Below are 14,161 nucleotides of genomic sequence, written 5' to 3' on the forward strand. Positions count from 1 at the left end.
GGATTCACAGCTGACACGCCTGACGCCAGCTAAGCTCAGGGCTCACTCTCACTCACTGCCTTAGGGCTAAGGCTCACTGACCACTCACGAAGGCAACTAACAAACTGCAAGGGGGCGGAGACATTTCTGACCTTGAACACAGAGAGCGCTCCTTGCCCAATGTGTCTGGATTGCATCACTGCGGCCATCAGCATCTCAGAATTTCTGATCGACCATGTTCCCCATCCCCTCCACCTCTAAATTATAAGAAAAGTCAACCTTGACCTCAAAGTTGGTCACATGTTCCTCCCCTTCCTGCCAGGATCCAGAGAGAAAGGCGAAACTGTATGAAACAGAACAGAATGCTGTGATTTAAAAACCTTAGCCTGCCCTTTTCTCCCTGTGTATATGAAAAAGGAAACCAAAAAACATCTGGGGTTAGCATAATCACAGTATTTTAAATTTGTGTGTACAGCAACTATCACTGATGGTGACTTTCAGGGACAAAATAATTTACAGAGCAGGATTCCGCTTGCTCCCGTTTTCCTATTTGGTAAATGGTAAAGATGTCTGCTGCCCAGCCTCTCTCGCAGGAGGGACTCCAATAAAACAAAGCACGTCCAAGTTTTTTTGAAAAAGCACATGCCTGTATACAAAGGCATATTATTATGGAAAGCTGTCTGCTTGGTCTTTGGAGCAGTTTCATTTGACAGAATGTGTGGGTGGTTGTATGAATCTAGCTTTGTCTATTCACAAACACATGGGTTTAATAAAGAGGAGTTTGTTTTTTAAGGTGTGTGGTCCATAGCTCACTGAAACACTCCTGTTTGACAAACACTGACCATGATCCTAAGAAAGGCGCAGCCCATTTTTATCTCCCTAACAATGGACAGCAGGAGTATAAATCTCCCAAGTCCACAGGAATACCTTGTGCTGGCTCCATCCGCCACTTCCTGACCCTGCCCTTGAACTCTCGCTCCACTTTAACATTCAAAGCCAAGAGGACAGCCACTCGGCTCTGAGTCACACTGAGAGCTTCCTGGGGTGGGCTCCGGCCAGCCCTTGCACGATCAAGTGGCTAGATGCAAGCCGTGGAGTGTTTCCTTAACACACAAATCCATTGTGTCCTTGATTACTCTTTCCAAACCCAGGAAAAAAGGGTTGGGAATTTTACCATCAGGGACAAAGTGACACGTGCCTATGCTATTTGTTCAACATTTCTGAACATAACATGCAACCATAAAAGTGTTTTCAAAAGTAAGTACACAAAACTCAACCCTAGATTCCCATTTCTCTCCTTTCCTTTCTTATAAGAAAAAGAACTGTCTGGTTTCCGTAGACCTCAACCATTAAACCAGATTTGTCTTCTATTTTTCTTTGAGACAGGGTCTTCTGGCTCTGTCACCCAGGCTGGAGTGCAATGGTAGGTATGTCTCACTGCAGCCTTGACCACCTAGGCTTAAGCAGCCCTTCCACCTCAGCCTCCCAAGTAGCTTGGACTACGTGCACACACCACCATGCCTAGCTAACGTTTTTTTTAGTTTGTAGAGATAGGGTTTTGTGATGGTACCCAGGCTAGTATCCAATTCCTGGCCTTAAGCAATTCTCCCACCTCTGCTTCCCAAATTGCTGGGATTACCAGCATGAGCCACTGCTCGATAAGTATTTTTAAAGTGGCAACTATGGGCCAGATGCTATGCCAAGGGCACCCATGAGATGACCTCTTTATCCTTACATGATCCCCTATGAGTTAGCATGATTAATTATCCCCATTTTATCAATGAAGAAACTGAGGCACAGAGGAGAAATCACATGTTCAACTGCTCACCAGGATTAGGATTTCCTGCTCTGCAGAGATTGGGTGGAAGAGCTCTCAGAAGCAAGGGTCCCATTCTCACTCAACTGGCAAATCATCATAGCTACCTTTTGTTGGCTGCTAAATAAGTCATTGTAATAAAACTCGAAAAGGTACAACATAGCACCATCCACATTTAGTGGATGAGGACATTGAGGCACAGAGAGGTAAACAATTTTGACCTAGGTTGCATAGCTAGCAAGTGGCCAATGTCTGAATTCCACTTTGTCCAACCTGACTCTCCTCAATACCTCCAGTGGACTCTAGAGATCAAATGGTAAAGCAAGTGCTAAATATAAAGTGAATACAGTGCCCAAATGTTCCTCACTGGGAACAATGGGAAGAATCTGGCATTGTACCCCTGCCTTTGTTCTAGCACGAAGACAGCTAAGGCACCTACCATTAGTCAGACCCACATCATTTATATCATCGTGCTATAAAATTACCAGTTGTCCCATAGGAAATGCACGGGACCATGTTCTTGCTAGACAGAGGAACCTAATGGTAAATCTCTCCACAGACCATCTATACCATGGGTGGAGACTGCTGTTTATTATTATAGTTAGATTATTTAATCTACTAAATAATATTAAATAACCTGTAGATGATTTAATTGCTTACCAAGAATAAATTGGGGTGGAAAAGGAAAGGGAAGGACAGCACTTCAGTGGAAGTGAGGTTGTTCTTGGAAATTGAAGCTTGAAACTGAAGGCATCATCTCTGAAAACTGAAGGTGTTTTTCCCTCAAAGTCAAGATGCAGGACACAGGCCCTTGCTCATCACAGTCCTTCCTCTCCGGAGCAGTTAGCGCTCCTCCTCTCCATGCGCCTCACCTCTGTGTAGTGGCCTGAGGGGTGGATTTCTCCCAGACAGGGCCAGTTCTGACAGGTGGCCCTGCCTACAAGGGCAGCCAGCACACGGGTAGGATTTGATGACGAACTGATACTCCAAGGAGGTTCACCAAGCTAAGAAGGATGGCAACTTCATTTTTGCAAGTGTTTTACACGGATACATAAACCTAGAAATGGCATATCTCTAGACTTACTGTGGCAAGAAAGAGTCCTTGAAACTACTAATTCAATTTAATGTTAATAGTTTTCACTTGTGTAATAAATGAAGCTTTTTGCCGTCAGTAAACAGTGAATGCAAGCTCAACGAATTCTGTACTTTGAACTTCCTTCGCATTTAACTGCCCTCTCCTCTGAGTCCTCACAGAACGTTGGTTGCACTTTTCTTTAATGTGCTATTATTTTTATGATTAGTTGTGTTTGGGATTCTCTCCCACATAAAGCCCAAGTTCCTCAGGTACAGGGATGGGGATATCCCAAACATTCACAACAGGTATGCAATAGTCAATAAAGGTCAGTTTCCTTCTTTCTGCACTGGCAATTAATGATGTATTGGTGACATATATGACTCTGTCTTGAATTTTTGTTTAATTTCTCTCATATTTGTGCCTATTTTCCCAACCAGGTAGAATGCCTTAGGAGAAGAGAGGTTGTCTTTGCCCAATCTCAAGATCTACCAAAACATTTTGAGCTCTAACTATTCTCCTCTTGCCAGGACTAAGTACGGATCCTCGTAGACAGAAATTTGGTGCTGCTTTTTCTTTTGAGAATTGGTAAGATGTAGCGATTAAGTAGCCCAGACTCTAGGGCCATGCTGCATAGGTTCAAATCTTGGTTTAGCGATTTACATGCTATGTGACCTTGAGCAAATTATTATTTAATCTCTCCTTGCTTATTTTCTCTTCTAAAATAGGAATGGTAATAATACCAACATCAGAGCATTGTTGAGAGGATAAAATGGCATAACAGATATAAAAGTAAGCACAGTGTTGCCTGGCACATAAGTGCTTGCTACTTTTATTATTGCTTACCTTACAGCACCAAACACACAAAACACAAAAATATGAGTTGTTTACCTGTGAACTAATTTTTATCAGCAGCAGAGTTTTCTGCAAATCGCTCAAGTCCAAATTTTCAGGAATTACAAAAAGGCAGTATCCTCACCTTTGGCAAACGCTCAGGGTCACCAGGGTGCCGAGGAATGACCTTCTGTAACCTCTGGAAACCATAATCGATGGTGGGTTCGTTGAGCGCTGCAATAAAGAAGTCACACAATTAGTACATTTTCAAGAAATAAAGCTGAACATGGCTTGCAACACTAATGGTGTGGAAATAACCAGGAAGTCCAAAGTTTAACTGATACTTTTGAATTGGATCACAAGATGGTTGTGTGAATGATCTCTTGGCTAAACTTTCCACCATCTGCTTTATACCACGGTGGGGAGTGACCCGCCCAAAAGAACATTAGGAGTAGGTCTTGAACAGTGTTCCTTTGGCCAAATTCTACACTCCTTACATGATCATAAATAGAAAGTAAAATGGTATTTGATGTGAGGTTTTTAGTATCCACTTTAATTCAGTTGCTCAGGTAAAAGCACTCAAGGGCTTGCCTGGTGGTATCTATACATTGTAAACAGCAGGAGAATTAAAAGTATCTGCTTAACTGCAAAATCCTTAGCGGACCTCAGCTGATACAATATCTCAGCACAAATAAGCATGCAAGAGGCTGGTGAGAGTAGAGGAGAGTGAGTAGAAGTGAATCTTTGAGGTATGGAAAGCCAGTGCCACCCTTGAGAGAGTCTGCAAAGGGATGGGTATTGAAAATGCCCTGATTCAAAACTCTCACATCTGAAATGATAGATCCTTTCACCAACATTGATATTATTTGGGACCAGCATCTGTGAAGTACTAGCTTAGAGCAGCCGAGTCTCCAAGAATAATCCTTGAAAACACCAAAAGAAGAGCAAACCTGGAATAACATTTGGAGACAATGGACCTTGCTGTGTGCACATTGACTACACACTCTTTAAAGCATCCTTAAATTAAACACAATATTAAGTGGACTCTGGTCTATCATTTTCAAAATTTCTCCCTGGTATGTGAAATATCTTCAGGCTGTCTCACGTGAAACAGCGGAGATGGAAAACACGGCAGCTCCAGCTCCTATCCATAGCCTCCACATCCCTATATTCTCTAAGTAAGGGGTAGGTGGGTGTTTTTTTAAAATTTCTTGTCTTTTTTAGTGTAATCAAAGTGCTCAACCATGTATTTTCTCACATGCTGAATAAAAAAGACAGTCTGTGTAGTTCTGACATTTAGCTATACATTAAAAAACAAGTTGCCACACGTTTTGCTTAAAATGCATTTCCATTAACCTAAATTTTAAAAGTAAGATTCATACTAGTACTAACTTTAAAAAACTGTATTAAATTCAAATAGGTCCCAAGGCTAATGGAAGCAATTTGTATACCAACCCAAACTGACTGGCCCACTTTTCAAAATACAGGTATGATAATCTTGTGGTTTTAAAAGGACATTTAAATTGAAAGACTGTGAATTTAGTACATAATTATACCAATAGAACTCTTTAACTTGTCAACTTGTAAATCTAAAAGGCTATCAATCATTTCTAAAGAGGAAATAAACCTTAAAATTCCTTGATTGACAGTGCTTACTTTTTATGTAAGGAAAAAAAAAAGCTGCATAAAGTGGCCAGAAATCCATTTACAAAAGTACATTGTTTTACACAGGTGAGTAAAAAGCCAATAATTACACCTCCAAAAGACACATAAATCAGAGTAAGTACTTTTTCTTCACTTGTATATTTTAAGTTAGAGTGAACTTTAGGTAACTTTTTATTAGAAAGATTTTTTTCCCCCAAATGCAATGCTTATTGAAGTCATTAATAGAGTGGCATTTTCATTTAAGATAATGTAATCATTTTTGCAAATATGAGATTTAGTTAACCCTCCCCCCATTTCCAAACAGTAAACTTTCAACCTGTCTCTTGTGGAAATTAACTAAAATTACACCCAGGTGTATCAAATCTTTCTATCTATACTAGTATATGAGTTAAGGCACAATATTTATTATTCCTTCCATTTTATGAATTACTTTCTAAACCCTTGAGAAGAATTCTTTTTTCAAATTAGACTTGTAGAGAAAATGCCATAGAATTCTTTAGGCAGGGAAGCTGCAACTTGTAAAATCCACTGTATTTAATCAAGAGATGCATGAGAGAGACAGGAATGAGCACCAAGGTTTAAGTTATTTATAATATCCACCCCCACCCATAATGCTAATTGCCAACAAAAATGTTTAACCATAAATAGTAGCTTTAGACAATTAAATGCATCATTTTAATATCTGAAAACATAATTCAGCATCCTGAAAATTCTAATTCTTGGTTTTACTTTTCAGTCTAAGATACCAGTAAAATTTGAATTGTTGCCCCACCACTTCAATCATTAGCATAATGAATTCCTATTGTGTCTAGAAATTCATGGTTGTTAATTGAATGACTGTCTGATGTATGGCGGGGAGAGAGATGTTTCTCCGGCTATATGGCCAGCTCACAGAGGAATGACCGACAATATCAGCAATTAAAAGAACCAATTCAAATATCATATGGAACTAATAGCTAAAGAGCTGAAGAGAAGTCATTCGGCTGCCACAGAGTAATTGAATTAGACATATTAAACTCATTATTCAAAGAAAAATAAGGATTTACTCCATGGACGTGTACTATGAGAGAGGAAATATTTAAATAGTAAGGCAAGGGCTTTTAACTTATGTCCCATGCCTTTATGATTTGCTGTCTGTTCATAGCTTTAAACAAGTTAACCTGCCCTCAATACAGGTATTGAATATTACAATGGAATCGTCCAGTGCTGCAGACAAAGCTAACATTAAAGATGCTAGACAAAGCTCACTGTCCTAAATCCAAAGGAACCTGATGATTTATCTGATTGCATTGACTAGAGAAAAAAAGTAAACCAATTACTGACTGTGGGGGAGCCATCTGACAAAGACTGTTATTTTAACTGCCCCCACAAAAAATATATTAAACATCTGGGAAGTGGGGGATGGTTAATTTAAGGCACCCGCATGGAATAGAATATGATGCCATCCTCAAAAGCAATGCCATAGGAAAAAATATTTACTGATATATTGCTTGGTTAAAAAGTAGATTACAGGAGCATGTGTACAATATAGTTACTTTTTTTAAACAAACATATATAGAATAAAGAAAATATGTCTGTGTATAAACTGCCAAATAGTAGTTATTTCTAAGTAGCGGGTCTTAAAGTGCTTTTCTTCCTGTTCTTTTTGCTGTGAATTTTCTAAATTTTCCACAATGAACATATATTACTTATATAATCAGAGAAAAAGGTTAAGAGCAAGAGATTGTTGCTGAGATGGAATTTGACCTGCTTGTATAAAGTAATGACATAAGAAACTATGCTTTAAGAGGGGTCTGTATACCCTTTAATAACCTTGCATAGGTTATTACAGACCATAAGAAAAATAAGTAGTATACTTTTGGCCAGTTGTATAAATATGTGACTATTCATAAACTCTCTGAAAATCAACAGAGAGGGTAACAGGGAGGAATCATAAAGAATGGTATATTTATTTCATCAGTGGGGGTAGTCATACCTTAGGGACATACATCTACTCTGCAAGAATGTAATATAAAGTTAATCCTTCAACAAAGTGACCTCATTGTACCCAAGCGCAGGGCTCAGGAGGCACCAGAAGAAATGGGACTAACCAATTTTTTTCCCCCTCAAACTTGGGACAATTCCGAGAATCTGGTAGAGCAAGAAAAAAAAACTTAATTGGACACAATTAACTACAAATAAAGAAGCATGAGCATCTTAGATTGAAAAAAGAAAAACAGATGAAGCTGTAAACTGCAAGAGGAATGGAATGATGAGAACAGCTTGTGTGGCCCTGCTTCCAAATACCCAGTCCACACACTCTGAAAAGGGTCTGAGAGGGTGTCACCCTAAACCAGTTAGGTTTAGAAGAATCCATTATCCCAAATAGAAAAGCCTCAATGTTTATACCATGAGAATAAAATGGGGCCAATGTATGCATTTTAAAAATTCCAAAAGACATTAAATTATCCATTTATTCAGTAATCATTTTTAGTGCTTACCATATGCTCAAGAAGAGGGGGTGGCATTCGTAGGAATGAACTGTTTAGTGTCACAACATCATAAGCCCTTTAAAACAAACTTTCCGAAAGGTACACATAATCCAACCCCCAAAGACAGATGAAATCCTCTACTTGCAGAGCTGGGATGCAGCTCAGCATCTCAGCATCTCACAGCCAGGTCCTCCTTATAGTCACCTCCTCTGCTCCTCTTTCTGACAAAGTCTAGGGTCACAATACACTTAATGGGGATACATTAATTTAAAGAACAATCAGGCTGTTGAGGGGCCACAGCAATTGAATTCAAGCTGTCTTCCACTGACCCCTTCAAACTCATTTACTGGTAGAAAGATATTTACTGAACCCACATAGTAGGACTTCGTGGAGTTGTGTACAGCTTATGGAGGGGTACATCTGAAACGTTCCTGTAAATGCATGAAAAGCAAAATCAAATGCTCCCAAACAGGAGAGTAAGCTTGCAGGGCAAATGTCTCAGCTGAGATTTGAGAAGGATCCCCTCACCCACAGCTATGATGTGATACTGGGGAATGGATATTGGTGGGATGTATCTGTTGTATGCACCAGGATGCCATTTGAACTGTATCAACATTACTACTTTTGAAAAAAAAGTTAATGAAATGGTTAAAAAAATCAAACTGTTTTATTCTGGCTTTATGTTGGGACTGCTTATAGAGGGCTTTAGGTTCCTTCCGGATCTCATCATCTCAGAGTCCCCTAAAGGAAACCAGCAACTTTCTATTCCAACCGATCTCTCAGCCTTTCTCTTTATGGGCTTCAACCCAGGTGGTGGTCAAGACAGAACAGCTCTGGTTCTACAAAGCTATAATCTCTAATGTCCAAATGTGCATGCAGCATGAAATGCTATATGCAAAGAAAATCGAGATAACACAACTAGTTTTTATGCACTCATACTAATCACAAGCTTCTAAAATTCAATTGAAAACTCATAATAATGAGTGAATTCTAACCAAATATATATGTGGCCTTTTCATGCCTATAGTCTCTTTTTCTTTCTTAAAGAAATCCACTTCACAAACACATCAAATAAAGGAAATTCTCTGTAAGGGGGTATATTTGCAAATTAAAATCATATAGTCAAGCCAGATGCATTCTCAGTTATGAAAAATGATTTTTCTCTTTTTGGAGTTTCCTTTTAAAGAAGCCACTCCTCCGTCCCCGTTAACTTCTTGAATACTTATTCCTGGAAACGATGGAAATGAGAGGCTGCAGAGTTCTGTTCAGAAACACCAGGGGAAAAGTGCTTTGGGTGCCATTCCAACATTGGCTTACAGAATTCCCTGCTTTTATAGCTCAGCGACTCACTGCCGTGCTTTCACATATTTCTGGGGTTTTAATTTCCTTTTTTTAATGGTTGTGTGACATGATGTCATTTTGACTGGAAATAAAAAGAAATGCAGATATTAGGAAGGCAATATTAATATTCTATTGCCATTTAATGTCCAAACAAATATCTAGACTCTATGCCAAGTAATAAATAAAACCTCATAGCAGAGGCAATGATAAAACTAGCACCTGGGTCTCCAAGCTTCCCTGGTGACTACTCCATATTTGAACTAAAGGAGTAACAGCAGAGCATTTCCCTCCAAGGCAGATCCATTCTGGGCATGAGAGTTATTACATATGTGTTAGGCAGAGCCTTTTTGTTCCATAATGGCCCCATTTTTCCCTCAGTCACTAAATTAACAACCAGAGGTAAACAATAAAACAGCAAGTTATCTTCACAAATCTATCTTTAAGACTGAGTTTAAAATATATAAACCGAAAAATCAGCCAGAAACCTGAACAAGGCCAGAAATATTGTTCACGAGGAAATTTGTTGCATTTCCAGCCATTTGGATATTTCATTACCTGCCTAGATACTTGATGCACAAACGGCACACCAGGTCACCTCTTCCGTGGGAGTGATACACTTCCTAAGAAACCCAACACCAAATTCCTTGCAAGTGAGCTCCTGCTTTCCCGTGAAATGCTTTTACAGCCTGGTGCCCCTGCCTCGGAGAGAGCGAGGCTCAGGAGGGCTTCAGGGAAGGACTCCTGGAACCACAGAAAGCTGTAACTTTCTGCAACAAGAAGGGTGTCAAGACGAAGCCAACATAGGCAGAATTAACCAATAGAGAAGCCAGAGGAAAATTTCCAAACTGCCTTTGAACATGCCCTGATTTTTTTTTTTTTTTTTTTTTTTTTTTTTTTTTTTGAGACGGAGTCTCGCTCCGTCGCCCAGGGTGGAGTGCAGTGGCGCGATCTCGGCTCGCTGCAAACTCCGCCTCCCGGGTTCATGCCATTCTCCTGCCTCAGCCTTCCGAGTAGCTGGGACTACAGGCGCCCACCACCACGCCCAGCTAATTTTTTTGTATTTTTAATAGAGACGGGGTTTCACCGTGTTAGACAGGATGGTCTCGATCTCCTGACCTCGTGATCCGCCCGCTTCGGCCTCCCAAAGTGCTGGGATTACAACCGTGAGCCACCGCGTCCGATCACCCTGATGTCTTATTTGTAGTCTTCAGGTCTCTTGATGTGTGACAACAACTTTGAGATTCAAAAATCAAGCAAAGGAAGCAAGGCCTCTCTACCACAGGCACAATCAGAGGTATTAGGTGCCTTGAGTGGTTACGTCCTTTTTACAAAGAGTGCAGCCAGGGTAACATGCAAAGAAAAGGCTGAAGACAGAAGGTCAACTGAAAAGCAAAGAGCCTAGGAGGATGAAACAAAGCAGGGGCACTCGGAGGAAGACTGATGAGGGAAGATCCTCAGGACTGTAGCTTGGAATGCAAAGAACTTGCATATGTTTGGAAATTAACAATTCTTGGAGAAGTAAAAGCCATCAAGAAGAGGAACAAAGAATTAAGAGACTTGCTTTTGTTTTTCAAAATGAAATCACCTTACTGTTTTTCTAAATCTAAAAGTAATGTTAACATAATTATTATATAAAAAATAGTTTAAAGGAGGAAAACCCCCATAATATCCCCATTCATGTAGAAGCATGATTGATATTTTAGTATGTATGCTTCCAAACATTTTCACAATACTGTTTTATAAAAATATAGATTATATACAGGCTTATACCTATCTCTTTCTTTTTGATGTTTGTAGCTTACCGTATTATACAGATAGACATAATTTATGTAACAAATCCTCTACTAACTGGAATGTAAGGTTTTCTTCCCAAAATTTTCACTGACTTAAGAAGCATTTATAATAAGCACTTCTCAGGATAAAAGAATATGCACATTTCAAGTCTTTCAGTATACATATTTCCTAACTATCCTTCATAAAATTTATGCCAATTTACATTTTGACAGGTTACTTTCAAAGGCATCTGCAAAAGAAAACTAATTTTTAAGATTTTGCATCTTGAACTCAATTATTCTCTAAGTTATAAGGACCTCTGAAGATTGTAGGTGTTAACAGTCACAATGATTCCTTGTAGAGGTGCCATTTTAAACATACCCTGAGGTCATATAAGACTCTTTTTCCAGTAATAACAAAGTGCTTTCTAGAAATTATCTCCTTGGTTCCTACAATATGCCCTTGACGTAAATGTTAAAAATTACTCCTAATTCAAAGGTGGGAAACTGAGGCACAGAAAGAGTTGGTTGCATAAATTAGCACAGAAGCCTCATTGTTTATATTTTTGTAGTCCTTTATTATTCCAAGATGACTATTTTATGTTAATATTGATGAACCTCAATTTGCCACACATTAACAAGTCCTGATACCAAATCAATTAAACTGCTGTTTTTTGTTTTTGTTTTTACTAAATATCCGTGAAACAAAATCCCAGCACTAACAGGAATCTCTGTGCCTAGGCTCCTGACATTTTACACATGAACAAGCCGTTTGGTGGCCTGATTTTTATTATGTAAGGCTCACCATGTCAACTAACACAAACCTTTTGGGGAGGCCACCCTAGTATTTTAAATTTGCCCCCAAATGCTCAAGAAACTGTTTTCTGTCCATCAGGTTCTTCTTATTGGTCTAAGCCTACAAGGAGCTCTCAAATGCTGATTTGACTTTAGAGAGAAAGAGACACAAATGCTGTCTCTGAGATACATTAAACCAATTTATACTACAACCGGTTGGCATTTTCTAGATGTGTGGTGAGAAGTTACTGGCAGAAGTGGAGCATCTCTTCATGAACAGACCCCTTTCTTGCCCTGGAGGGCTATACTGTGTCTAAAATGGGAAGTAGGTGAACCTCCAATAATTAGGAGAAACTGTATTGCTCTCTAAGTGTACTACAGTTGATGAGAAAAGCTGCCCCTGTTACTGTGTTTAAAGTGCTCTGAACAGCATGGCCGTCCAGGAGCCTTAATTTAGATTCCCAAATTTGATCCAACTTTAAAACTAAAATAAAATCCCTTGAGCAAACAGAAGTTGAATGTACACAATTTTTTTTTTGACCTTTCAATCTTTTTCATTTGGGTGTTTTTTTAATTTGGATCATTCACGATTAGGTTTCAAAGCCAAATTTGCTCCTTTAAATGAGAAGAGAAGAATAATTTCCACTTTGTAATGGATGATGGCGTTTAAATATTGGAGACCAACATATTCTGTCTTTCTTAACATTTAAGGATACGTCCATAATTCTCTTCCCTACTGGCATAGTTTCTGATATAACAAGAGTAATATTACTTCTATAATTGTTCTTCAGATTTCTTCCCAAAGAGTTTTGACATTAGCTGTTATCAAGGGGGTAAAATCACCCAGCCTGTCTGATAAACATGTTTTCTTATATCCCCACCCCAGCAAGTGCTGTGACACTATACTTTTATCACCCCGTGTGTGTTCAGAATGAGCTTAGAACAGCAATTGCCGGGAATAGGCAGGCGATAAACCGCATTGATTTAACACATCTTGTTTTCAATCATGCTTGGATTTTCTGAGCACGCATTTTTCCTGTACTCTGGCTTGTAGCTTTTATCTGACGAGCTGATCCCTTTTCACTGGAAAATGAAAAGGTCGCACAATAAGACACGGTTTACTGGAACTTGAACACGCACCAGGGAAAGTATTTTAGATAAATACTGTCAGACATAGTGGAGCTGAATTTCAACAACACAATTGCTAAACAACAATACTTATTACTCTCCTAGAACAAGCCTACCAGTGACTTATGGCTCTCAGCAGGGGACAGCACCGAGTCAGGCTCCAAGGCGAAGAAATCCTTCCCTGAGCCTTGTGCTAACCAAACGCGGAGTTCTGGGCTGAAGTCCTACTTGTGATTGTTAATATCATGGTTTTATGAGACAACTCAGAAAATGACTCCCACTGTTCACAGAGTTGTTTCCTCCAAACCAGTGGACAGGTTTCAGAAGAGTTGTAATGAAATTATAACAGAGCTCTGCAGACGGTCAGACTGGAAAGGAAAAAACAAATCCCAAGAATGGTGATAAAAAAGTGACTCCAAATCATCCACTAATTCCACTAATAAGACAGGAAAGTACTTGTAACTGGAAGATATTAGAAGATTAAGTGATTATTTGGTAACATTTTAATGGAATTACAGAGAACTTACAACAAGTATGCCATGCAGCGAGCTACAATGGCCTTGCAGATAAGCCTGGAAGTTTTTATCAGCCAAAGCTTCAACTTAAATAGCATCTTGATTTAAAAATAAATGAAGTCAGGCTTCTTCAGTATTGACCTAACCTAAATGATTATTTTTGCTGAGCATCTTGATCCTAAGAAGTCTCCTCCCCCTGACTATTATACTCTAGAACACTTTTAACACACATTTTGCTTATACATTTATTGTCTACTACTTCAGAGCTCCTCAAACTTTCTCTGTTCACAGTACCCTGAGTATCTCAGCAATCCCTTCAAAGCATCCCTAAGCCAAAAGCAATGCCCAACAATTCTGTTTATTAACTACTTAGATGCGAACAGCTTAAACTTTATGTTCCAGCAACTTAGTAGGACATACATATTTGACAAAAACTATATAAAGAAATGGACAAAAAATATATAACATTTTATTTCATTTTAAAATAATCACAATTTACTAGTGAAACATGTGTTCCTGGTGGGCACCACACAACTTTGCACACCTCAGAATCAGACTAAACACAGCCACCTTCATTTTTGATTCCATATTGGTTTTCACGTGGCACTTTTTTTTGTAACCACAGTAAATGCTGAAAACCAGCTTTGCAAAGATATGACACCATCAAAAGGATGCACTGTAAGGCTGGGCACAGTGGCTCACACCTGTAATCCTAGCACATTGGGAGGCTGAGGCAGAAGGATAGCTGCAGCCCAAGAGTTTGAAACCAGCCT

The 14,161-nt window shown here is 39.2% G+C and overlaps 1 protein-coding gene across 25 annotated transcripts in view, besides 1 other annotated feature; it reads right to left on the reverse strand.

The window, feature by feature from the left end:
• EBF1 (EBF transcription factor 1) overlaps positions 1 to 14,161 on the reverse strand; it is a 403,997-nt gene that overhangs the window by 31,303 nt on the left and 358,533 nt on the right. For all 25 annotated transcript variants that reach the window (NM_182708.3, NM_001324108.2, NM_001324106.2 and 22 more), the window contains one exon: positions 3,847 to 3,935. In NM_182708.3, the coding sequence (NP_874367.1) occupies positions 3,847 to 3,935 (89 nt within the window). The remainder of the gene's footprint in view (positions 1 to 3,846; positions 3,936 to 14,161) is intronic.
• Positions 10,271 to 10,847: an enhancer, noted in NCBI's record as "NANOG hESC enhancer chr5:158164501-158165077 (GRCh37/hg19 assembly coordinates)". NCBI's record gives its function as "activates a minimal SCP1, AML or CMV promoter by ChIP-STARR-seq in naive H9 embryonic stem cells {active_cell/tissue: H9 hESC(naive)}" and the evidence as "EXISTENCE:reporter gene assay evidence [ECO:0000049][PMID:30033119]".

Source organism: Homo sapiens, chromosome 5, assembly GCF_000001405.40.
Source record: "Homo sapiens chromosome 5, GRCh38.p14 Primary Assembly".
In the NCBI taxonomy this organism is placed as follows: domain Eukaryota; kingdom Metazoa; phylum Chordata; class Mammalia; order Primates; family Hominidae; genus Homo; species Homo sapiens.